The sequence below is a fragment of the Homo sapiens genome, chromosome 7 (genome assembly GCF_000001405.40).
Source record: "Homo sapiens chromosome 7, GRCh38.p14 Primary Assembly".
Taxonomy (NCBI): Eukaryota; Metazoa; Chordata; class Mammalia; order Primates; family Hominidae; genus Homo; species Homo sapiens.
In genome coordinates, this window is record NC_000007.14 from 111879892 (window position 1) to 111907659 (window position 27768).

General features: G+C 39.3%; 1 protein-coding gene across 14 annotated transcripts in view; it reads right to left on the minus strand.

The window, feature by feature from the left end:
• DOCK4 (dedicator of cytokinesis 4) overlaps window positions 1-27768 on the minus strand; it is a 480290-nt gene that overhangs the window by 153782 nt on the left and 298740 nt on the right. For all 14 annotated transcript variants that reach the window (XM_047421081.1, NM_014705.4, XM_006716189.3 and 11 more), the window contains exons 14-16: window positions 21786-21910; window positions 20483-20645; window positions 15721-15827 (exon numbers count right to left, since the gene is read on the minus strand). In XM_047421081.1, the coding sequence (XP_047277037.1) occupies window positions 15721-15827; window positions 20483-20645; window positions 21786-21910 (395 nt within the window). The remainder of the gene's footprint in view (window positions 1-15720; window positions 15828-20482; window positions 20646-21785; window positions 21911-27768) is intronic.

Sequence of the window (27768 nt, forward strand, 5' to 3'; positions counted from 1 at the left end):
AAAAAAGAATAGAAAACAATGACGCACTTCTACAATATCTAGAAAATAGCTTCAAAAGTGCAAATCTAAGAGTTATTGGTCTTAAAGAGGAGGTAGAGAAAGAGATAGTGCTAGAAAGTTTCTTTGAAGGGATAATAACAGAGAAATTCCCAAACCTAGAGAAAGATATCAGCATTCAAGTACAAGAAGGTTACAGAACACCAAGCAGATTTAACCCAAAGAAGACTACCTCAAAGCATTTAATAATCAAACTCCGAAAGGTCAAGGATGAAGAAAGGATCCTAAAAGCAGCAAAAGAAAAGAAACAAGTAACACAATGGAGCTCCAATACATCTGGCAGCAGACTATTCGGTGGAAATCTTACAGGCAAAGAGAGTGTGGCATGACACCTTTAAAGTGCTAAAGGGGAAAGAAAAACAAACAAAACAAAACCTTTACCCTAGAATAGTATATCCAGGGGAAAAATATCCTTCAGGCATGAAGGAGAAATAAAAATCTTCTCAGACTAACAAAAGCTGAGGGATTTCATCAACACCAGACTTGTCCTTCAAGAAATGCTAAAGGGAGCTCTTCAATCCGAAAGAAAAGGATGCTAATGAGGAAGAAGAAATCATCTGAAGGTACAAAACTCACTGGTAATAGTAAACACACAGAAAAACACAGAATAGTATAATGCCGTAATTGTGGTGTGTAAAATACTCTTTACTTAAGCAGAAAGACTAAATGATGAACCAATCAAAAAGAACAAAACTGGAGGAATCACATTACGTTACTTTGAATTCTACTACAGAGCTATAGTAACCAAAACAGCATGGTACTGAAATAAAAGCAGACACAAAGACCAATGGAACAGAACAGAGAACCCAGAAACAAATCCACACACCTCCAGTGAACTCTTTTTCGACAAAGGTGCCAAGAATATACATTGAGGAAAAGAGTCTCTTCAATAAACGGTGCTGGGAAAACTGGATATCCATATGCAGAAGAATGAAACTTGCTAACTTGCTCCTATCTCTCACTATATACAAAAATCAAATCAAAATGGATTAAAAATTAAATCTAAGACCTCAAACTATGAAACTACTGTAAGAAAACATCAGAGAAACTCTCCAGGACAGCGGTCTGGGCAAAAATTTCTTGAGCATCCCCACGAGCAGAGGCAACAAAGGCAAAAATGGATAAATGGGATCACATCAAGTCAAAAAGCTGCACAGCAAAGGAAATAATCACCAAAGTGAAGAGACAACCCACATAATGGGAGAAAATACTTGCAAACTACCTATTTGATGAGGGATTAATAACAGAATATATAAAGAGCTCAAACAACTCTCTAGGGAAAAATCTAATAATCCGATTGAGAAATGGACAAAATATTTGAATAGACATTTCTCAAAAGGAGATACACACATGGCAAACAGGCATATAAAAAGGTGCTCAACATCACTGATCATCAGAGAAATGCAAATCAAAACTACAACGAGATATCATCTCACCCCAGGTAAAATGGCTTTTATCCAAAAGACAGGCAGTAACAAATGCTGGTGAAGATGTGGAGAAAAGGGAACCCTCATACACTTTTGATGGGAATGTCAATTAGTATAACCACTATGGAGAAGAGTTTGGAGGTTCCTCAAACAACTATAAAGAGAGCTACCATGTGATTTGGCCATCCCCCTACTGGATATATATTGAAAAGAAAGGAAATCAATATATCAAAGAGACATCTGCACTTCCATGTTTGTTGTGTAGCACTGTTCACAATAGCTAAGACTTGGAAGCAACCTAAGTGTCCATCAACAGATGAATGGATAAAGAAAATGTGGTACATGGATACAGTGGAGTACTATTCAGCCATAAAAAAGAATGAGATCCTGTCATTTGCAACAACATGAATGGAACTGGAGGTCATTATGTTAAGTGAAATAAGCCAGGCACCAAAAGACAAACATTGCATGTTCTCACTTTTTTTGTGGGATCTAAAAACCAAAACAACTGAACTCATGGAGATGGAGAGTAGGGGATGGTTACCAGTGGCTGGGAAGGGTAGTGGGAGATGACAGGGAGGTGGGGATGGTTAATGGGTACAAAGAAGACAGAAAGAGTAAGACCTAGTATTTGATAACACAACAGGGTGACTATAGTTAACAATAATTTAATTGTACATTTAAAAATAACTAAAATGTATAATTGGATTGTTTGTAATACAAGGGATAAATGCTTGAGGAGATGGATACCCAATTTTCCATGATGTGATTATTATGCATTGCATGCTTATACCAAAATATCTCATATACCCCATAAATATAATCACCTACTATGTACCCACAAAAATTAAAAATGAGAAAAATTGTATAGTGTATTATAATATCATTTGGGTAAAAAAATCCACACAGAATATCTGGATGATATACACTAAGGAGCTAATAGTTAACATCACCTGGGTAATGAGAATATGGCATTTTATTTTATTTTGGTTTATCTGTATACTGATTTTAATGCTGTAATAATAAAGGTGATTTTAAATTAAAATTTTGAGGAAAAAATTGTAACAGATATACAGCTGGTACGCTCAGATGATTCTGATTATACATTTAAAAACCTGTATTAACTTTATTCTTTCGAATTTGTTCAAATATTTTCAAGGCTACTGCCCTAGTAACAGGTAGGAGTTTAAGCATAGAATCCCTTTAGTGTTCTAGACTATTATGTGTGACTCACAATTTTTTTTTACTTTTTTTGAGACTGAGTTTCGCTCTTGTCACCCAGGCTGGAGTGCAATGGTGTGATCTCGGCTCACCACAACCTCTGCCTCCCGGGTTCAAGCAATTCTCCTGCCTCAGCCTCCCAAGTAGCTGGAATTACATGCATGCACCACCATGCCCAGCTAATTTTGTATGTTTAGTAGAAACGGGATTGCTCCATGTTGAGGCTGGTCTCGAACTCCTGACCTCAGGTGATCCGCCTGCCTCAGCCTCCGAAAGTGCTGGGATTACAGGCGTGAGCCACCATGCCTGGCTACATTTTTAATAATAAATATTTAGGAAAGACCTCTCTAACAAGTTTAGAGAAACAGAATCAGAATATGACAAGATGTTCTAATACACCTGTCCAGTAACAGAAACACCAATACAAACATAATAAACAGCCTCTATACTTCTCTTTTAATATTACAACTCCAAATCATTGCTTTTACTACTGCAAAGTAATTCATATAGACAGAAGAATGCATAAAACATACATATATGGTTTAAAGAATAATTATAAAGTGAATACTTCAAATGCTTTCTTCAGGAAAAGTGTTTAGGCAAAGTAATGTTCTGGAACCCTAGATCACTGACCCCCTCCCCTCAATCTCATCCCTGGCAAGTCAAAGCATGAGGGCAGCACCCCACATTCACCCTATCTGGTCTATAGTGTTGGAAACATCCTTTGATCTCTCATCTCTATCCTGATTTGGGTTCCATATGTCTAACCACCACTTCCTAGTGTGACTAAGTCTCATGCCAAACCCAGCCCAGACACTCTGTCCTGCTATTTCCAGGCCTCCTCCTCAGGATTTGGAGCCTGCCCTGGTCTAGTATGATCCATCTGTTCACAGAAATTCTGCCCCTGTAAACATATCTCTTATTAACTCTCCTCCCCCTAACTGCCTGCCATCTCTGCAGCACTTCTGCAGCCTCTTGGAATTCCTGCTTGATATCCCATGTAGCTCAACTGGTTGCCATGGGATGGACCACTTGTATGAGTGAGGGTGTGATGGCTGTGCTGTATCCTTAGTGTGTATCTATGAATAGAAGACTTGGCTGCTTTTCCATGGGCCAGGAAAAGGTGATGTGGTCAGGTCAGTTCCACCAAGCCTTCATTCTCACTTCTCCCCCAGCCTGGAGGGTCCAAGACCTCAGCATCTGAGTCTGTCTGAGTTATGACATCTTGATAGCTTCTTACAGCTAAACTCTATCACCCTTGCTCAAGTATAAAATATAATAAATATGAACAATACTCTGGACATAAAAGTTATTTCAAGAGCTTTCAGCAAGAACACTGGGGTGTGTGTAAGAGAGATGGGGGTAGCAGGAGAGAATTCCGCCCATCAATTCAGTGAAGAAAAACATGTAACTACTCTTTGGTCTCTATGAACCCTTTTATATATTTACCAGAGGTTCAAATCTGATTTTTTTATCCAGTAGGATTACACTAGATAGGGGGTTAGGTTTTAATCTATTTCTGAAAAACTTAAGCTATCACACAGAAAATATAGCATATCTTTTATTGTTCCTTGAGGTTTTCAGCACGCACCCTTAATATACCATACAAATACTGGAGATTTTTAAGGCAATCCAAGCAACTACCTTTTATGAGTGCTTACTGTGTGACAGGCACTGCTCTGCACTGCGTGTATATTCTCTTCTCACACAATCCTTGAGGCAAGATATTGTAACGTAAGGAGCTTATGTGATTTGCCCAATGTCACAATATTAGAAAGTATCACAGTCAGAATTTGAACCAAAATTTGTATTCACAACTACCATATAACATTGCCTCCCTCTACTGTTGTTTTAGCCAAGTTTTGAATTCAAGTAATTAATTCAAACATTTTTAATTTATAGATAAAATACTGCATGGTAGGTATCGCTAGGAAAGACCAAAAATGGTTAGCTTTTCAAAAGAAAGGTATCTTTGTGGGAGACACCCTGAGAGAGGGCTCAGAGTGGTATATGGAGCTGAAATAATTTCAAATGCAATAAGCTCACGAATCTTATAATGAAATGGCTAGTTTATGTCTTCAAATCATGCAGGGAGCAAAAGGGATCATGCAACCTGGATAAGGTAGGGAGGAAGGGCAGGTGGGAGCAGATGGGGCATAACACAGGAGCTTAGGAACACAACAAATGTGCTAGAAATCATTCACTCTTTCATTCAACGACAAGGGATAGGGAAGAAATGGGTTCAAGAGCAGTGAATAATACAAATGAGGTTCTAGAAGGTAGACTTGTAAGGCAGAAACAGCTGTTGCCTAGAGTTTAAGCCAAAAGGTTATCCAGTTTCCTAATACTAGAACCAGCCAGGGAGTCAGTAAATTCCCCAGGTGGGAAAAGGGTCTACTGTGAGTGAGATTTTGAACTAGAGTATGGACTGGAGAAAACAAATGGGAATAAACAGTCTTCCCATTAGGTGAAAGGCTAAGAGTCAATGAAGTCATAGAAATGAGGCTGGAAAAGTATGGTTTGGCACTGCCTGTGCTTTAATTGGAAATATTAAGTGCAACAGAATAGTGGTTGGGTGCTTAAATGCCTAAAAATCTGAGCAATACAGGCTCAACAGCACCAAACTGCAGATGTGAGATTCTTGTGCTGCATGTAATTGAGAGATGGCTTTGTTACCATGGTAAAATCCAGCTATACTCCTAACCTGGATGGGGTGGTTAAATACGGATCATTTGCATTCTGAGGAATACTTGTAAAACCACAGTTTAGGCTTTCACATAGAGAATATTTTTTCTACCAAACCCAGTGAAGGCATGGAGCATGGCAATGTGGATATGAGAGTAAGAAGACACTGTCTTCTCTACTAGAGAACTCGTTTTCTTGTGGAAGACACAAGCACAGCTAAAGTGTTACCAGTGTTATGGCAGATGTATGCTGGCAGATGGATGAGGGAAGAATTAATGAAGCCATTTGTTTTTTCCAGGGGAAACAAGGCAATGTGACCCCGGCTTCTTGAAGCTGCTACTGGACTGGGGGAACAAAACGATGTCACTGTAATAGTGAAGGATAGTTCTCTGCATTTGCTATGTTGGAATCTGTGCAAGTTATCTTAAAATGGCATGGAGATAATTTACAAATTAGAGAGGAGAGAGATGAGAACCATCCTTGCTTTACTATACTTGGAGTCTGAAATCAGATCTGGCCAGAGAGATGTGCTCCCTCAGACTCTTACAGAATTATTAAAATGCAGGCTTTGCAGCAGCAGCAGCAGCAGTAGTAGTCTCATCTTCTTTGAGATCATATAGTTTGGCTCACAGTGTATTTCTTTCTCTGGAATAAAAATCAGTTGGTACAGCAATGAATACTGCATTATGTTCTAGGCTACTTTTTGACTACTGTCTTAGATATGTGAAAGAGAATGTCAGTGGTCAGTCCCGGACAGTGTTCCAGAAGTGTGATATTTGAGTTATACAAGATATATGATTGAGAGATCCACATCTACAATTTACTAATTTAAAAACTGGCACAGGAATTCATGGAATTAGTCAAATTAAGGGGTCTGTAACTTGTGAAAAGTAGGTAATCACATTAAAAAAATACAGTATGGTAGACAATCCAGTTGAAACTCTGTATTACCAGTTAATAAAAACCAGATTTAAATAGTTTTTGGAGGAAAATACCTTTCTTTGGGGAACTTTTTCAAAATGAGTAGTCATCCTTTATGTCATTATTAAAAATTTATTAAATTCCAAATATTTGTCAGCCTTCCAGTTTAGCATTAAGAATGTAACAAGGAAATGAACACAGTCTCTGCCCTTGAGGGCACTGCATGTCTGATCTCCACACTTATCTGTTAATACCGATTACAACACTGGGATAAAGACCACTAGAAACCAGTTCTGCTGGGGAAGGGAAGGAAGACCTTATCGAAAAGGATGGTCTTTGATCTGAGGTCAAAGGACTATTTGACCTCAGTTGTAAAGGATAAAAGGGTCATCAAGCAGGCAAGGGAGGAAAAGTCAAGGGAGGGAAGAAACAATACACTTAAAGGCACCGGGGAATAAAAACACACGTATGAGACTATGGGGACACGACCATTCAACGCAATGTGGGATCTTGGAATGGATCCTGGAACAGAAAAAATGACATTCGTGGGAAAAGTTATTGTGAAATCCAAATAAATTCCATGTTAACAGAATTGTACCCAGATTAATTTAGTTTTGATAAATATACTATAGCTTATATAAGAGGTTAACATAAGGAGAAGTTGGATGAAGGTTATATGGGAATTTCCTGTACTATTTTTGCAACTCTTCTATAAATTTAAAATATCTTTAAAATAACTGCTAAAAAAAAGTACGGGCATATTGAGGCAACTATACATAGTTAAGTATGTCTGGAGTAGGGAATTTTTCAATACATAAAAGCCTTGGGATTACCCCCAAATCTCTTGAATAAGAAAAATCTCAGGTGGTTCTAATACTCACCTCTGGTTTAAATTCCTTGGATTAAAGTATTATCGAGGAGGTGGAACTGACCAGTCATGCAACCAACTATTTAGACATGGTGGGTAAATGTGACAAGAGAAGCCTGTGACAAGGTTTCTCTTCATGGCAGGAGTGGATGGAGACAAGACAAAATGCTCAGTTTTGGATATGCTGAGTGTGCAGTGTCTTTGGGAAGACCAACTGAAGATGTTCAGTAGGCTGGTAAAAGTTTTGCACTAGAAAAACATATCTGGCAGTTAACAGCATAGCTTACCTGCCCAAATGGATGAGATGGATCTAGAGAGTATAAGACACAGATGGTAGCCAAGGGCTAAACCCCTGGTAACATCAACATTTAAGGTATCCATAAAGAGAAATGAGTCCTCAAAGAGGAGGAAGGATGAAACTCAGGAGCACATCGTCAGGCCAAGGAGTGTGGGATTTTCAAGAAGTGTTATTAATAGTGCTCTATGCTATAGGGCAGTCAAGTATGGAAAGGTTTTTAAAATGTCTAGTGGCTTTAGCCCCTGGCTGGGCACTAGTGACCTAAAGGGGAAAAACTTCAGTTGAGCAATGAGGATGTGAGGAAGCAGAGGCAATGAGGGAAGACAGACATTTCACGCAGGCTGCATGTCATGACGGGAAGGGAAGAAGGAACATGGTGCCTATTTAAAAAAAATTATTAAAAAAAAAAGGCTTGAGCATGTTTATGATCTGTGTGAATACTGCTGGAAGAGATGCAGGAGGAAGAGAGAGGACATTGGGAGGGGCAGGGTCCCAGAAGAGTCAGGAGGGAGGGAGATCCTGAAGGAAGTAGGTGGAAGAACTAGTCTTGAAGCAAAGGAATCCTGCCCAATCCCCTGAGACAGGAAGCCGGAAGGAAAGGAAGGATGCAGATAAGTTTGCAGGTGGCAAGGAGAGAGCACAAGAAGTTAAGGAAGTTCCTGTCTGATGGCATCTGTTTTCTCTGTTAAGTAGCTGGGAAGTGGTGGGGTAGGGAGAATGGTAAGCTCTTGTAAATAGCTCTTGTGAGGACTAGTTTGCCTGCAATGTTGATGGACCCACATCTATACCCAGGTAGATGCTAACCTATAGCAACTGTATAATTTCTTCTAGCAATGCCCTAATCTGTCAGCATTGCCCTCTCCTATCCCCAGCCCTAATTTCTTCTAGGGCTGGGGATAGGAGAGGGCAATGCTTACAGATTCATCTAGGACTATTTTTTATTTCCTATGCAGGCACAGTAGAACTAAGGATTAAGAGATACCTTAGATAACAATGGGAAGAAAATAGAGTGGTCTAGTGGAGGAGAAAAAGACTGAAAAATAGGCATAGTTAGAAAATCAGAAGGTTGAAAGGCTGTGGTCAGAATATTGGGAGTTTATGATTTTTGATATGAAGTGCTTCTGGATGATTTCATCCACCCATCTATCTAATCAGTGGGAGATTCTGATGGGTAGAGAGGCAATACAGCCTAGGGTGTGGCCATAGTGAAGTAGAAGGCAAATGGAGGTAGCTAGAGTTGAAGTGGCCAAGAAAACAAGAGGACAGGAAGTTGGACAGTCAACCAGAAGGAGAAGACTCTGAACTAGGAACTAGACTGATTGTGGAAAACTAATCAGCTACTTACCACACCACTCCATCTTCCCCCCTCTTCCTCACTGGCCCTCAAAATACAAGTTGGTGGAAGACAGTAACTAGGACACATGGAAAATTGCAGCGCTGTATGGAATGAGCCTTATAGAGGATAGGGGAGCTCTTCACAAGAGGGTGGCGAAAGAGTATCTCTGGAAAGCGTTAGGGTATTTGGAGACAGCTGACCACCAGACACTAGACACCTGGCTTAGGAAGAGGGGCTCTCTACTCCAGCAGCTATACAGGAAGCCCTCTCAGCAGAAGCAAGTCAGGTCTCACTTAAGGCAGAACATTTTGGGAGAGCTGAAGATGTAGCAGTATGAACTGGTTAGCATTGAAGGGGCTTTCTGCAGGTCACTTAACTATCCCTAAGTGCTAGGACTAAGTCTACCTATTAAGATAGCTTAGTGTTTTCCCCCCACTGTTCAGCTTATGTGTTCAGCTTGATATGTTTTTATACTAAACTTACCAGGTTATTTATTTTAAAATGTTGCAGATGTTTTTTAATTTCTCTCACAGCATGTAATGAATGAAGTATCAGTCAAGTGATCAATTCTTCTATACCAAAGCCTGGGGAAGACAGATATGTTCCTGGCTTGTCTAAGATTTATAGATTATGGTTATAGGGTAAGTCTTTTAGAAGAGTTGGGGGAGCATATGGGGTTCACTGGGGAGCATATGGGGTTCACTGGGCAGCAGGCTAGATTGCAATCCTGTCAGTCTACCTAAATTTTCAGATTCCCCTCATCTTTTCATTTTACTTATGAATGCAAACATACTACAGGAAAAGGCTACACTGAAGTTTGAGATAAGCAGAGAACAGTAGCTTCTACCTGGATTTGAGAAGTCCATCTCAAAGGTAGTGGCCAGTGAAGTGTATTTGTTGGACTACTATGGACCAAGTTAGGGACTAGGATATAGCATAAGAACCTGAAAACTTGTAGAGAAAAATGTGGGCCACAAAGGGTTTATGGACAAATTTTTAGGTAACAAAGGTGAAATAAGTTACTCCACAATAGACTTTTACTGTCTATGTCATCATATTAAATTAATCCCTCTCCAACCAGGAAACAGCATCACCTTCTATTTGGCTGACTTTGTACCTGGCTCTTTTCCTTCTTGAATGCCTTGGATTAGGAAGCCAATAAACCCCGCTACAGGAAGCAGATTCTCTACTAAGCAAAACTCTAGCTTGTTTGAGTTGGGCACTTCTGCCATGGTGGTTCTTGACAATCAACAGTGATGAATTTACAAAACCCCAACTTCTCCAAGGCAGACGGTATTATTACTATTTTCTTACTGGACCTGAGGGTGTTTCCGAATGTACTTCCAGTGACTAAAACTCCTCCATTACAGTGAGTCAGAATGAATGGGGACTTGAGCACATAGTTACTGTCTTCCTAGGCCCCTCTTTTTGGATTCTCTCATCAATCTCCTCAAGAGATTTGACTTTTGGAGAACAAATTTGCTTCTACTCATTCTTTTTTATTTTATTTTTTGCTTCATTCTCTTTTCTTAACTTTTTCTTAATTCTTTTTTCTTAACTTACTTTCCAGCAGGTAGCTGAAGAAGCTTAGCCAAATACATTCCTACAAAGTTAAGGAAGACAATAATTCTAATAGAATGAAATACCAAAACTTAAGATTAAATATGGTTATTAGCGAACTAGCAATTCCAAAGGGAATTTTTAGGCTTATCTGTCAGCCATTTGGAGATATCACTGATGTTCTGGGGGCTCTGGAAGGACAAAATCTCTAATGATAACTAAGTTATTTTACTTATTCTCCTAGAGCTAATGATATGCAAATTTTTATAGATTTCAGAGTTTATTTACATTGGAAACCACTCTAAATATGTAATCAATCAAGTGATGTTGAAAATGACCTTTTCCCTTAGGATTCCTTAGACCCTGCCTAAAAGGTGAGTCCAGGTCCTTGACAAAGTATTTACTATAACAGCTCGGTAAGAACGGTTTCTTTAGAACACATTGAGAAGTGAAGTCCAGCCATTGCTACAAAGGGAAACTACCTCACAAATTTAAGGCCTAAATTAGGATACTAATAGCCTTCAACACAGCAGATTTCTTCTTAGCTCACTGCAGGATTGAGTCTTTTAAACTAATACTTTACATGAAGAGCAAGTAGGTTTTAACCAATACTCTACTACAAACCAGAGCTATTCTCTGTATCATATCTCCAAGACAGATTTAAAGACACATTTTTAACGCAGTTTTTTTTCATCTCTCATCAACCTTTGACATCATGGGCAGTACCTGCCAATGAATGACACAGAACATGGTTTATAAAAATCCAAGACAATTAATGTTCCTTCAAAACCTTACCATAAACATTACTGTCAAGATTATATGACAGAAGAATGGTCTTCACTTACATAAAAGTCCAGAATTAAATAGTATAAAACAAGGCTAAGTTTAAATTTCTGTCTCTTCCTATTTTTGTTTGGTCAAAATGAAAAAAAAATTATTAATATTATAAAATAACACTTGTCCACTAACAAAAAATTTAAGCAATATGAAAATAAAAAGTCATTAATATTTAAGGATATCATTCCAAGCATCTCTGTATGCACATATACACATAAGAACATACAGTTAAGCAATTTTATAAAAATGGTATTATACTAAATATATGCATGTATAAAGTATTAACAATAAGCACTTTTCCATGCATATAAAATTATCCTGTAAACATTATTTCCACCTATATAGTATTTCATTCACTGTACGGGTATAACTAAATTTAATCAGATCTATGTTATTGGCAATTTAAATTACTTCCATGTTTTCCATATTTTAAGCAATCTGCAGTGATCATCCTTGAATCACCTTTGCTCACCTTGTCTTATTATCTTCTTCCAAAAAATACCAACATGTGTGGGATGGCTGAGTTGAAGGATATACACATTTAAAATTTATCTACGTATTGCCAAACTGCCCTCCAGAAACACAACAGTGTTCATATTTCTTCTATAAATGCATGAGACTGTTTTCCCTTAACCTTGCTCTCCAATTCTGGGCTTTAAAAATCTCTGCCAATCTGATAGGCAAAAAGGTTTCAAATTTTTTAACTTAAACGGATTTCTTTACTTATTCATGCTTTTATTTTATACATTTGCATTTATTATTTTTAAATAGTCTTTGTAGCATTTATCAATTTTTCCTTTTCTTACTGATTTGTGATAACTCTTGGTCAGTCAGGAATAGCAACCCTTTATAAGGGTTACCTATGGGGTTATAAAGCAACTCTTTACAAGCTGTGTTGCAACTATATTTCAGTTTGAAATGTGTTTCAGCCTAGATTATGACTGTTTTATCAATAAATATCTTAAATTTTATGTAGCCAAATTTACTTGATTTTTAAATTTGATTTCTAACATTTGAGACATCCTTAGAAAGGCCCTTCTCACCTGTAGATTATAAGAATGTTCATCCGTATTTTTAAGGCTCGTACAGATTGATTATTGATTGATTGATTGATTTGAGACTGAGTTTTACTCCTGTTGCCCAGGATGGAGTGCAATGGCATGATCTCGGCTCACTGTAACCTCCGCCTCCTGGGTTCAAGCAATCCTCCTGCCTCAGCCTCCCAAGTAGCTGGGATTACAGGCACCCATGACCACGCTGGACTAACTTTTTTGATTTTTAGTAGAGACAGGGTTTCACCATGTTGGCCAGGCTGGTCTTGAATTCCTAACTTCAGGTGATCCACCAGCCTTGGCCTCCCAAAGTGCTGGGATTACAGGCATGAGCCACTGTGCCAGGCCCAGTTTTATTTCTTACATTCAATCTGGAATGTGTTTTCGCAATAAGAGGAAGGTAGGAATCCAGCTCTTCCCCACTTCCCCTAATACCCATTTTATTTATCTCAACACCACTTATTAAATGGGCTATACTTTTAGCTCATAATTTGAAATACACTTCTCTCTCCACGTTTCTTTTTAAATACTGAATTCAAGGCCGCACAATGATCAGCAGGCTGTGTGCTTTCCTGTCGTGGCAGAAGAAGGATTATGTATTATGCTGGTAATATGGTTTCATAATCATAAACTACAAGTGGCCATAAGCTGAAACTGAATTTGTTGGCTCAGTAGTATGAGAAATAAAAATAAAAGTTGTTATACTTGGCAAGTATTTCACAACTCTGTAAATAAGAAATACTAAATAACCCTATTCATAAGAAAACTCAGCTACTTGGGGTTTTTTCTGTGGAGCAAATGCTTCCTGATGGAGCTATACAATGTAGGTCTGCCCCAAATTAGACAGCCTACACATACCATACTGAGTTTCTCTTGTGGTTGAGGTCACAATTTTCATGCTCAAATAAATTTCCCTTTATGGATTAGGATTCTTAGTACTAAGTCAATCTTTGTGGAAGAGCTACAACTGAGTCAAAGTCCTATTTTTGAGAAAAGTTTTGGCCCTGACGACAGGCACCTGGACAGGACTCTGTCTAGGAATTAATACCTGTTTGACTCCTAAATGTTCACATGGAGAAGCGAGCTCTGCTACCTGTCCTCTGGCATTTTAAGCATATGCATGTTTCTAATCAGCAACTGAGAATCTTGGTATGGTTCACGCTCACGAAGAGAAGTCAACCAGGACTTGACTGGAAAGCTAGCACTGCCAAAGACACACCCTCAGACCCATAGGTGACAGGGTCCAGATGGGATATACTATGTAGAAGTGATTCATTCTTTTACATATCATGAGGAAACGGGGAGCCCAGTCTTAGTTATCTCAGCCTTATCTTTTCTGAGCTAAGATTTAATGTTACAAAGACATTTATATGAAGTACCATTTATGTTTTCGAAAATTGAAGCTCAAGACATTGCCTGTTATATTATATATCTTATCGGGCAGCCTCAGACCTAAAGCTGAGATAAATAGATCATCCCCGCAGTCTAGTATATGTAGTTCCTCTGTTTGCTTTTCTGGTTACTATGCTTTAAAATATTTTTGTTTCTTTCTATTTTAACACCTTTAGCTTTGTTAGCTCTTTTAGATTACTTTATGAAGAGAGAACGTAAAGGCCAGAAACAGAAGGATTTGGCTGTTTTGTTTGCCACTATTTTCCCAGCACCTAGAACAGTACCTGGCTGTAGTCTGTGGTCAATAAACATGTTGAACAAATAATGAGAAAATGAATGATTAAAGAAATAGACAATGAAATATACATTCTATAAAAATAGAAAATACCAGGTGTGGGCTGGGCGCAGTGGCCCACGCCTGTAATCCCAGCACTTTGGGAGGCTGAGGTGGGCGGATCACGAGGTCAGGAGATAGAGACCATCCTGGCTGACACGGTGAAACCCCGTCTCTACTAAAAATACAAAAATTAGCCGGGCATGGTGGCGGGTGCCTGGTGTCCCAGCTAGTCAGGAGGCTGAGGCAGGAGAATGGTGTGAACCCGGGAGGCAGAGCTTGCAGTGAGTCAAGATTGTGCCGCTGCACTCCAGCCTGGGCGACAGAGCAAGACTCCATCTCAAAAAAAAAAAGAAAAAAGAAAAAAAGAAAATACCAGGTGTGTTATATGTTGCCTCTCATTTAACTAGCAATCCAAAGAAAGTTTTTGCTTGTAATCTCTTATTCATTCAATAATCTTCACTGAACATCTATCACAGGCCAGAATCCCTTTACATAGCTGTTGTTCTCGAGGGGCTCATAAATCTAATGGGGCAAGCTGAGGGATCAACAGATAGTTCTGGGACAGTGTGATGAGAACAATGGTAAGAGATGTGTGCAGATACCAGGGAGCTCAGGGAAGGGCAACTGGCCAGCTGAGAATATGAATTGGGCCAGGAAGCAGGGGACAGTTTCTGAGGGAGGTTATGGCCCAGGTGAGCCTCCAGGGATGAGCAGAAGACACTCAGAGGGAGAGGCAGGGGAAGGCTGACTCCAGGAGCCACAAGGCAAGGGAAGAGCAGAAAGAGCCAGCAGCAGAGGGTGAAGAACCAGAATGTGCTGGATGTGGTTGTAGCATCAAGAGGCCGGAAGTGGTGAGGAGTGAGGCAGTAGGGAGGTAGAAGGCTGGCATGCCCTGAGATGCCTGGGATTTATTCTCTCAGCAAGAAGCTTTTGAATGGGTCTTAAGCTGGGAAGTGACATGGCTGGATCTGCTCCTTAGATGAGTGACCCTAATGTCTGGGCTAGAGGGAGACAAGACCCAGGTCAGCAGGACCAGTTATCATAGGTGAGAGTTGATAAGGGCCTCACTATTACACAGTTATAGAAATGGAGAAATGCAAAGGAGGAATATTTTGGAGAAAATTGCCTGTGCACTTAAAAATACATTTTTTACCCTATAGTTCATTATTACTAGTATTCTCAGATAATTACAAGGGGTTCTCCTTTGCAAGCTTTCTTTTGTTGCCTACTACAATACACTTTGTTCCAAATGTTTTTTATGACAATTCTTGATTTATAAGAACTGCTAAAGTTGTCATGATGAAATACAGCCACTTCTCTGCCTGCTTAGTAACAATAGCAGACAAAAAAAAGCAATGCTGACCTTGCTAAATTTACTTCTGGGGATACACAGACCTAGATAAGAAAGCGCGTAATGTAGTATTTAAAAAGTTATTTGTAAGGTTTACTTAACCCTATCACAGCAATGGAAAGAACTTTAAGAACAATACACAGGTTTACCCAAACATCCACCCCTAAATTAGGATGAAAACATAAATCATCTCTAAAATATGTTCTAAAATATAACCCAATATAGAAACAATACTTTGAAAAAGACATTCTCCCTGACAGCAATCTTACAAGAATATTCATTTCAGTCATTTTTTTCTCTTTTCAAAATGATAAGATAGTGAGGTGTTATTTCAGCACTGTTTTTTACTGCCCATCGCCACCATCTGACTGATGTTACCTTATGCACGATGAGCTCATGAGTGCCATCTGGAAGAGTCCTACCATCTTCTTGCATCAGAGGGACAAAAGAAAACCCAAACAACTTCTTCTCTCCTTTCTCCTTTGCTGTAAAAAACAAATTACTTGCTTATTTAAGTGTATCTATGTTCAGGTACATAGTTTGTCAAGAAGCATAATCATCGAGAAATATAACTCATACACAACAGTTCCCACTACACAATGCAGCACAGCTTTTCTGATAGGCCATCTATATAGAGCAGCCACCCTCTAATCCCCTCTTCCTGCCCCCTTATCTGCAACTTACATTTCTTGCCTAATTTTCTTTATGGGAATCACTATCTGAAATTGCTTTTTAAAAAATTTGTGGATTGCCTGTTTCTTCTTTTTACCCCAAAGTCCCATTGAGGGCAGGGGTCTTATCTGTTTATTGTTTCAAAGAGTGCTAGGAACATAGTAGGTGCTTAATAAATATATGATAAATGAATGAACAAGTGAATGAATGAAAGTGAAATGGTTTGTTTTGATTACTACCCATCAAAAGGGAATCTCTAAGCTCTACCCTGGTCCATGACAGAACTTCTTTCCCTATATCCACACACGTAAGGAAAGTAAGTCCTGTTGCAGTTACCTCCTTGGAATAAGTTAGGCACGTTGAAAGACAATATGAATATTAAACCTATAGTTTAACAAGAGCTCACTACTCTGGAAGCCGGAAATGAGGCGATGAGGTTTTCAGATGCCTAATTAAGAATTACAATAGCTAGAAATGCCAAGGATCATTAGTAATTATTTATAGATAGGGAAATTGAGGTCATAGATGTTAGGTAACTTGTTGTAGATCTCTTAAGTACCATTCCAGTTCTTTCCACCAAGGTTTTTTTTTTTTTTTTTTTCCTCCAAAAATGGAGAAAGCATTAACAGAACCTTCTTTGGTTAACTTGACTCTCCCCTTGTACTTAGATGGGCAGAGTTCTCCAGAGCCAGCAGCCTGTTAAGGGCTGGATGGTTACTCTTTCACAAGTGGAGCATTATACTTGAACAGACAAGTTCAACTTTGGGATGCAGTAAGATCTGAGCTGGAGGAGTTAGGTATGGTGATCCTGAAGACTGGACAAGAAGGTTAGCAACACAGCATTTAATTGCTCCAGGCATTTAAGCACAGGGAAGTGGAGCCTCATGCAGAAAACGGTAATTTTGTCTGGCTGGTGCTGGTCCCTAATATGAGGACATCCCTGAAAATGTAATTATAGCAAAGGACTTTCTTTTAAAATCATTAATTTCAACCCCATAGAGAAACTGGAAAAATAATTCATGTTTTTTAAAAAGTCAAGCAAAAATCACACCAAAGATCTCTGGGAAGAGATTTCCACATCAATGATAATACAGGAACTTGAATCTACAGGTTCATTTAAGAACAACTGACATCTTGACGACATTGAGTCTTCCTACGCATGACCATAGCTCTTGTATCCTTTATAGCAAAACTTCTCAAAAGATTTGTCTATACCCATTACTCCCCCTTTTCCCCCTCCATCTCATTCTTTAACTCACATTTACTACCACAGATTCACTAAAACCACTTGTCAGGTTCAATGAGTTCCATGATGCCAAATCAAATTATTCGTCCTCATCTTATTTGAACTACCACTGGCACCTGACACATGTGATCAATCCTCTCTTAAAAAACTGCCTTCATTTAGCTCCTGGGTTCTCTTCTTCCTGCATTGGCCTTCAACCTACTAGATAGTCTTTCTTAATGTCATTTAATGCCTCCTTCTCATCCTCCCAGCTCTAAATATGGCAAGTACCCCAGAGACCCATCCTTCGACTCCCCTTTGCTATCTAAACTTACTACCTAGGAACTCCAATCAGTCTCAGACTTTAGAAATCATCAAAATTAGTGATGTGCTGGAGCTGGATCATACTGGCCCGTAAGAGCTGAGAGTGCACATCTCTCCCCAGTTCTACACTCAGTGATGTCATGTTGGAAGCTTGAAATTGGACATAGTGGGAGTATCTACACCATGGAAATCAGCAAATGCTACAGTTCAGGGATCCTCCCCACCCCCCAGTGCTGGCTCAGTAGACCAACCACTGAACTGTATGTTCTCATTCCCAAGTTTCCAAACTGGACGTTACTCAACTGCCCACTTGACATCTTGAGTGTCTAACAGATATCTCTGATTTAACATGTCTAAAATGCAATGTTCGATTTTTGTTCCCCAAACAGATTCTCCCTGTTGTCTTCCCCACTTAATTAAATGATCACTTCATTCTCAGGCCGACATCTTTGGGTTACCCTGGACTTTTCTCCTTCTTTCAGATCCAATCTGTTAATATTCTGTAAAAAAGAACTGAACCATTACCATCGTAATGCAGAACACTTTAAATCTCTTACTTGGAAGACTAAAAAAAGCTTCCCAAATGGTCTTTCTGTTCCCAACCATATTACCTATAATCTATTATCCCATACAGTAGCCAGACGTATCTTCACTCCAAATCCTCTCGTGGTTCTTCTCAATTCAAATAAAATGCACAGTCCTCATCATGAAATAAAAGACTATACAAGATCTGGCACCTCTGCTACCTTCCTGGTCTCCTTGCTATTCCTTGAAAAGGCCAAGCATATTTCAACCTCAAGCCTTTTGTACTGTCCTCTCTGCCTGGAATCTTCTTTCCCCAGACAGAATAGTCTCAATGGCTCAGGCCTTCACTTCTTTTAGTTTGTTGCCAACACATGTCCTTATAAGCGAAGTCTTTCCTGACTGCCCTGTGTAAAATAGCAACACAGTACCATCACTTTCTACTCCCTAGCTGCAATTTAAGTCTTCACTGCACTTCATCACTTGCTATCTGATGTACTATGTACTTAGTTTCTCAGCTATTATCTGTCTTTCCTCTCTGGAATGAAAGCTCTGTGAGCGGGGCTATTTTCTTGTGCTCACTGATGTGTCTCCAGTACCCAGTAAAATGCTTGGCATATAGTGGGTGTTCAACAAATATTTGTTTCATGAATAACTGATGTTTTTGAATAAATATATGAACACACAGATAAATATTTGGAAGCCCACTTTATAAAATGATTGCATTGGTTATTCATAGTTTGTGGTATTATCAAGATTTTTTCCTTCTTCTTTACATTTTGCTGTTTCTTCTGACTTTTAATTATGAAGATTAAAAGAAAAAACCTATGAGGAATTTTTGCAGTACAGGGACAAGAAGGTAGAGATCCAATAGATTTTACTGAAAATAGCCTTTATTTTACTTTCCAAGTTCTGAATTCGAATAATTACCTCCAAATGCTCTTTCTCTCTTTCCCCACTATTTCACCTTTATTTTCTCTTTTTCTTACCTTAAAGCTCAGACCTCATATTAGACCCCAGTGAGAATTCATAACAAAGATTGATGGAAGAAATAGTATGGCACCATTCTAAGTCCTTTATGTTTTCCTACTTCAAGTCCTTTACATGAAACTCTTCTGGGAATTTGGAAGAATTTTAAGACCCTGCTAGCTCTCTTCCTGCATTCAGATACATCCACACAAGCATAATGTATGAAGCTCTTGAGTCAATTCTGAAATATGCCATAGTTCCAGCAAAAGATAAAGTCCTCCTTCTCTGCCTGAACCTTGGGTAAAATACAACATCACTGTGGTAAATTCACCACAAATCTTTTGGCAAAGCCCCTATTCCTTCCAGACTGGAAGAGAGCCTGCTGCTTCTTCAAAAATGTGATTCTCCTGTATCTCTCGTTTGTTGTACTGCTCCCAAAGCTAGATTCACCAAAACTTTCTCTGGTCACAATGTACACTGGCAGTGCTAAGATATACTCAGGGACACAAGGAATATCAGAAGATTCCTGGACTGGGGGTAGTTGGGGGAGAGAGATGGGGCTTGAGAGGGTGGTAATGAATGCAAAAAAATGGAAATAGAAATACTGAGAAGGGATAACTTTATGGATAGCAATGCCCATGTGGACAAACCCTGTAACAGTTCTATGTCTTGGGTTGTTGAGATCTGTAAAATGAGGCCGGGTGTGGTGGCTCACGCCTATAATCCCAGCACTTTGGGAGGCCGAGGCGGGTGGATCACCTGAGGTCAGGAGTTCAAGACCAGCCTGACCAATATGGTGAAACCCCGCCTGTAATAAAAATACAAAAATTAGCCAGGCGTGGTGGCCGGGCGCCTGTAGTCCCAGCTACTCAGGAGGCTGAGACAGGAGAATTGCTTGAGCCTGGGAGGCGGAAGTTGCAGAGAGCTGAGATTGCGCCACTGCACTCCAGCCTGGGCAACAGAGTGAGGCTTTGCTTCGAAACAAAACAAAAAAATCTGTAAAATGAGGCAATTACTTCATGTTACTTCTAAGTCTTTTTCCAGCTGACATTATTTGATTCTCATCTGAATACTGTCTGAGAGAGTACAGTGATGCAGATACACACAAATCAGATATGCATCTGAACTGGCCAAAGGCTTTCCCAGTGGCTTCACATGCCATGAAAAGTCCTAGTGGGTTTCCCCAATCTGTGTGAGAGCTGGATCAGCTCCTGGAGATACCAGAATGGTTAGGGTTGCCTAAGACCACCAGAAACAGTTTAGCTTTTAACACTGTGCCTCCCCTTTCTGGCTAATCTTTCTAGAATGGAACAAACTGATTTTTACAAAAGTAATCAACTTAAGATCAACCCACATCTTCATGACAGCTCAGTAAGCAGGATACTCCAGCACAATAGACACAGGTAGCCAATGCCACCAAACACTTACTGGAACAATGCCGAAACTCGAAGCGGATGTGTGCACCCCGGAATTTATCCACAGGAATGGGAAGTTTCAGCAGTTCAGACCACCTGGGACTGTTGTTATGGTAAAGCACAAAGGAGTGGTACTCACTGGCTGGTGGCTCCCCAGAGCCGAAGGAGATAAAATCCTAACAAAGGGAAGAACACACAGGTTAAAGAGAGCTTCATCTAAAGATCTTTTGAAAAGGCAGAGCAATCACTTTGCTCTATCTGCCTGCCTCTCAAATAGCACTATGAAATTACCTCGCTGGGCCTTTGCCGTGTGTTTCTGTACTTGCTGCTGCTTAGCGGGGTGTATCTATTTAATTCTGATGCTGGTCTCCAAGGATTTACTGTGCCAAGGGTAGACCCGGGTGACACGTGGGAGATGGACGATTGCATGGCCCACTTGGAGTTCAACTACATGGTAAAGTTCCCAACCTGCCATAGTCAAAAGCCTGTTTTGTGCCTCAGTAGGTGACTCACTACGCCCCAGGGCCAACCTTCTTATTTAAATGGGCAACTGTATGTCTCTATGAAGAAGGGGCTCATGAAAAATACTTCTTCCATAAAAACACCTGCTATTCTCACCCCAATTAGTAAGTAGTACCCTAGTCTTCATGCCTATTTTGGTCAGAAAGAAAATATATAGAATTAAATAATGAAATGGCTTTAAAAATATGCTGCATTTATCTCAGCACTTTGGGAAGCCAAGGCAGGAGGATCACTTGAGGCCAGGAGTTCGAGACCAGCCTGGCCAACACGGTGAAACCCTGTCTCTACTAAAAATACAAAAATTAGCTGGGCATGGTTACGCACGCCTGTAATCCCAGTTACTTGAAGGGCTGGGGTACGAGAATTGCTTGAACCTGGAAGAGGGAGGTTGCAATGAGTGGAGATCATACTACTGCACTCCAGTCTGGTGACAGAATAAGATTCTGTCTCAAAAAAAAAAAAAAAAAAAAAAAGCTGCTTTTAAGTAATAGCTGCTGTAAGAAAATTATTGACACAATGAATTAAGCAAACTGTAAAAGTTGTTGTTTTTTTTTCCTGGCTTGTCTTCAGCATGAAGACTGCGTTTTTCTGCTCTCTTTTCTGAAAGGAATTTTAGTGAATTAAAAAACAAAAGAAAGAAAACTACACAGGGGTGAAGGAGAAAAATAAGATAGAAAATAACGCAAATCAGAAATTAACTGATCGTAAATCAGAAAATAACTGATCACATTAAAGATTAAGTGAAAGCAATTATACAGACTTGTTTGACCTGGAAATATCAAGTATTAACATACCTTCAGGGTTTGGCCACTACTGTCTACAATGAACATCGTAACTTCCACATTTCTGGCCACGCTCTTCCCTCCTTTCTCAAATTCTCCCCTTTCAATAGTGATATATAAATCATTCCTCATTTCACCTATAAGGAAAGGAAAATTAAAACCATGTTATATATATATGAGGAAATGTAATAAAGTGCTCTATCAAGAAAAACTTTAGTTTATACAATATACTGCTATACATACATATAAAAGTACAAATATATTTGCATTTTTATAAAAGTGTCCTCACCCTTACTGCCAACATCTGAGAAGAATAACAGCCAGCCTCTGCTAGTCTGAATTAGAAACACTGTAATTCTACATCTAGGAGGTGAATACTGGGACCAAGTAGGAAGGTATTGTCAAGTCTCACCATTTTTCAATATTTCCCTCATTTTATTTATGAGGTGTGATTATAAAATGACAGCCTAGCAGGGGTGGCTCAGAGAAACCAGTCTTATTACTTTATAGTCATAGCAATTTAGGGTAGGAGAAATACCTAAATGTAGTAAAATAATAGGACTGTAAAGGGTACAATTACAACTTAAATCTTTTCCAAAATTCATGGACAAAATGATCTCACTGCTGGAAGAATCCAGATTAGCATTTTATGAACACAGATGTAGAATAATTCCGTCATACAGACAAACTCGGCTTAATATTTCATATCATCAAGCTATAAAACAATTGAGAAAGGCCCTATATTCAAATAGACACATTCTATGTACATATATACTGTCGATTTTTTCTCTACTGGTGATTTATAAAACTTGAGTTTTTAAAAATCTCAACCCTTTCTTATTATTGCAAGATAAAAAAAGATAAATTTGATGCCAACTAGCAAACTTAGGCAAATGTGCTAACAGCATGCTTTTACTTCTTTTATAAAAATTAAACTAGCGGGAAATAATAAATGCATAGAGAAGTGAGAAATAAGTCAACAAAGCACAACTAGAAAGTTTTTAAAGGTAAATGGTGAGATGGCAAGGTCGAATTTATTTTTACTTAACACATATTTCAAACACTTGAAAAAATCAAAAGTAATACTGTTTTCTTTTTTCTTTTCTTTTTTTTTTGAGAAAAAAAAGGGAGGTCTCGCTCTGTCGCCCAGGCTGGAGTGCAGAGGTGGGATCTTGGCTCACTGCAAGCTCCGCCTCCCAGGTTCCCACCATTCTCCTGCCTCAGCCTCCCGAGTAGCTGGGACTACAGGTGCGTGCCACCACGCCTGGCTAATCTTTTGTATTTTTAGCAGAGATGGGGTTTCACCCTGTTAGCCAGGGTGGTCTCGATCTCCTGACCTTGAATACTCTGTTTTCTAATAAAAAATTTCCCCATAAGAAAGAAAATCACTAGAAAGAAAAATAACCATATAACTATGTCTACAATTGGGAGTTTTATAAAACTTCTTCGTCAAAGTGTGCACAAGGAAGTATCCTAGTTCCTCAATACCATGGACCATGGGAGAATATCAGTGTGCCAGATCATCTTCCTCCATAAAGACCAACTTTTTATGATGGCATCATTTACAAATGACCTAGGCTGACAAGGATACAGGTGGGCCATAAAACAGAAAAACTGGGTAAGTTCTAAAAAGAATTACATCTTAGTCACCCTTTACAAAGAGTCTATAAAACATACATTAGTGGAAACAATACAGAGGTCTCTGGCTTATGAATTTCTAGTACTCTTATACAGCTCATACAAACCAACTTGGGAAGGCAATGAACTTAAAGTCCAGGAGAAAAGCAACATATTTCAACACTTTAAAAATTATATTTGTGTGCTTTGAAAGTTTTCTGTTTTAACTATTTCCATTACTAATTTTTAGAGAATGGCCCAGTACATTTTATGTTTATTAGACTTTCTATTTCACTTGATTACTACATATATTTTTTACTCCCACATTTGATGTTATTTATTTAACAATTCCATTATAGAATCAACAGCAAATCAACTGACTTCAACAAACAAAAAATAGGTCTGGTACACACAATGGTCTGCACATGCTAGTTTAACAAGAGGTTTGGGAGGAAATTCTTGACAATAATGTTTCCACGAACAGATGTGGCAGGTAAAAAAAACAACACTCAAATCAAGATACTTTAGAGCAAAATATATTGGCTAAAAACAGCAGAATTCTTTTGCTTCTTGGAGTAAGTGACACATAATAAGTAGCTCTGCTACAAATAGCCTATAAAACCTACACTGACTAATGGGAAGTATAGCTACAGGGGTTGTTACCTTAGGAATTTCTTATAATGAGTAATTAGCTTGTCCAAACCACACAGGGATTAACTGTCCTGCAAAATAAAGACTAAGTGTTTCTTGGGAAGGTGCTTTCCACTGTTATCTGCTGGAAGGACGTGGCCTCTCAGACTCCAGCAAAGGCAAGAGGTGATAAGGGAGGTTTGCAAGGTAACCTGTTTCCCTCTGTCCGTAGGCTAGGCCCAAAGGAGGGAAAATGAGGGATGTACTGCCAGCATCACAAAATTCTTTTTCTATGTACCTGTATTTATTCAACGAATGTTTCTTGAGCATCTCCTGTATGCTAGATACTATTATTCCAAGCCAGGAAGATTCAGTAGTGAATACAGCAAAAATTCTTTCCCCAGAGTCTTGATTCTAGCAGGTGTAAGTCCTTAATAAATACATAAATAAGTAAAATATATAGTATGCTGAGCGATAATAGGCACTGTGGATAAAAGTGAGAAGGAGGATACAGAGTATTGAATGGGGATGGAGGGAGAGTTAAAATTTTCAACAGGGTAATAAGAGAAGGCCTCATGAGAAGATGAGCACCCTGAGTAGGCTACAGTGTTCGACAAAGGAGTAAGGTTCCAAAGGGCATTAGCTTCTCAGGCCAGTCCCCAAGGCCTGTTTAGCTCATAACACAGCTGAATTCTCCTATCTCTTCTTTACAAAAGAGATTCTGAATTCAAATACACTAAAGGCATTAGGTTCACAGGACAATCAGAATAAGGAGATACAGGTTCTAGTCTGTGCTACTGCTATGGTGTGTGACATCAGTCTATACAGGGTATTAGAAACCTCTGGGTCTCAGGTTTTTGTTATTAACATGAGAATAGGGTAAAGGTGGGTAAATGAGAGGTGGTAGGAGAGACAACACTACTTTGTTATATTATGCTGTTTCTATGCCTTACAAAAGAACCTCCGGAAATTAACACGTTCACAAAATCAAACCCCTCATACGTATGCTTTAATTTTCCATTCTTTAACTGTCACTATCCCTGTAACCCCATTATCTTTTGCAAATCTTTTAGACTAAAACCAGATTTCTTTGAAAAGAGAATACATGACAAGAAGAACACTTCTCCTGGACGACATTCTCCATGTGCCTCTCCCCAGGAATTTTACAGCTTGCTTATGTTCCAATTTTGCAAGGTGCCAAGTTTTGCCAAAATATGCAGAAGGATCAAGTTGAAACAAGTGCTAATTAAATCAATACACTTGAGGTTGACTCTGGAGAAAACTCATGAGTCCAAATGGTGTTCAGAAAGCATCTTGGGTAATTAAGAGAGAAACCATCAAGTCAGTATGAAATGGAGTCATAGCACCCGTGTGAAAAGCTATTTCCCTGACAATGTTTATTAACACCTCATACCTCTCAAGTTTATTACTCTAAAAATTTGATGTGCACCACACTTTCTTCCTCTTTAGCAGGCCTGCTGGCTAGGGAGCCTTTACACATATGAAGGCCTTTCAAAATACTACTGTAGACAAGATAAAGATAAGGTCACAAAATTGGGAACAAACTCAAGAGTTCAGTGACTGCAGTCAAATGGATCCATTAACAGCTTGACCTAGATGGGTAAGAGTTTCCGTCAGTAGTTGAAAACTGTAATCCTTGTTTCTGTCTTATGAATGTCTTGGATAAAGGATACAGCGCATGATCACCATAGCATGTAAACCACTGTACACTGTCCCAGCGGCTTTATCTATTTTTTATATATATGCATGTATGTGTGTGTGTGTGTGTGTGTGTGTGTGCACGTGTATTGCGTATACACACACACACAAGCTGGATATTTGTTAAGAGTTATGGAACCAAATAAAATTTCCTGTCCTTTAGTTTTTTTAAAAAAGAAAATGTGTAAATGACTTAGGTGAACTTAGATTACTGTTGATGATGTTGTTAATGATGATGGCAGTAGTAACAGTCCTAGTAGCAACAGCAGCAGCAGTACACTTTATTGAGTACCTACTATGTGCTGGGTACTTTGCAAAATGCTAGAAGTAGAACATCTCATTAAATTATCATATCAACTTTATAAAAAAGGCACTATCATTTCCATTTTGCAGATGAGGAAATTAAAGTGTAGGGATTAAGAATAGTGCCCTAGGTATTATCAGTGACCCCACATTACCTATGAAAACCTGTAATTCCATGCAGTAAGAATGGCCATCAAATAAGCTACTGCAATTCAGCCTTTGTCAGGAGAAGTGACTTGAGCAAGGAAGGTAGTAGTCCTGTGTTGCTTTGCATTTCTCAGACCAGTTTTGAAATACTGATTACAGTTCTAGGGACTATCTTTACAACACAGAGACAGACACAAATGGTGTCATCCAGACCATAAACAATATGAAGAAAGGACTCAGAACCCATCACAAGAAGGAAGAGGTAGACAATAGAATTAACTGAATTTTAAAATGTTGAAGTTCCAAGCAGAAAGGGAAATTGGTCCAACATAAGTCATTTTGAGAGAAAATGTGATGATGTGTTCTTGGTCAATACAAATATTCAAGTATGAGCCAGAAAACCACCACTAGGAACCATGAAGAGGAATGCATGCACTAGACACATGGGTGGGCTGGGTGGCCCCTCATGTGTGTGAAAGGCAGATTAAGATCCCCTCCCCAAAGATGCCTAGGTTCCAATCCCTGGAACCTATGAGTATGTTACCTTGCAGATGTGATTAAATTAATGATCTTGAGATAGGGAGATTTTCTTGGATTATCAGGGTGGGTCCAATATAATCACAGGGTCCTTGAAAAAGGGAGGGGGAAGGGTCAGAATTAGAGAAGGGGATATGATGAGGAACACAGAGGCCGGAATGACTTGGGTCATGAGCCAAGGAGTGCAGGCAGCTTCCACAAGCTGGAAAAGGCAAGGAAGTATATTCTCCCCTGGAAGCATCAGAAGAAATGCAGCCCTGATCACACCTTGATTTTAGTTCAGTGAGACTAGCTCATCCTCTGACCTCCAGAACTGTAACACGGTAAATGTATGTTGTTTGAAGCCACCTTGTTATAGCACCTATAGGAAACTAATACAATGTGACTTCCATATCCAAGCTTCTGTCACTTCATGAGACCTTCAAGGAGGAGGAAGGAATGGGAGCAGGACTCACAGGTAACTGGAGACTGAAACAGAGCACAGACAGGGCAAATGTACGGATAGGCTGAAAAGTTAACTAATATTATATCTCCAATTCTCACACAAGATACACTTGAGTAAAACCCATCAGGTTTTCTCTATTTTCTATCTATCATTCTCATTTTTGTTTTGCTTTGTTTTTAAAAGAGTACTATGAGATACTGAACTCTTTTGGGAGGTAGCTTTTTATGTTTTGCTTATGACAATTAAGCAAGCAAGGGCACATGATGCAACACCCACAATGGGCTCTCCAGACAGTTTTGCTCAGAGGCAAGAGCATGGATAAACTGTGGTTCCCTGTTGCCATCCCACTCTGAGACAATGCATGGAGATCTGGCAGCCCGTTGGGGGAACTCCTATACTCTTGGGGCAGTGGGGACCGTAAGCTTCATAATTTGAGAGGTACCAGTCCCTCCCTCTGTCTGATCTAGGTCTGGGATAAAACTTCAGGGTGACACATTAGAATCTCGGCTTCACTCTCTCTTCAGTCACTGTGGCATTCATTGGTTAAAGACCACCATCTCCTCGCACATCAGGGTTCAGGTCTAAGCTAAGCGGTGT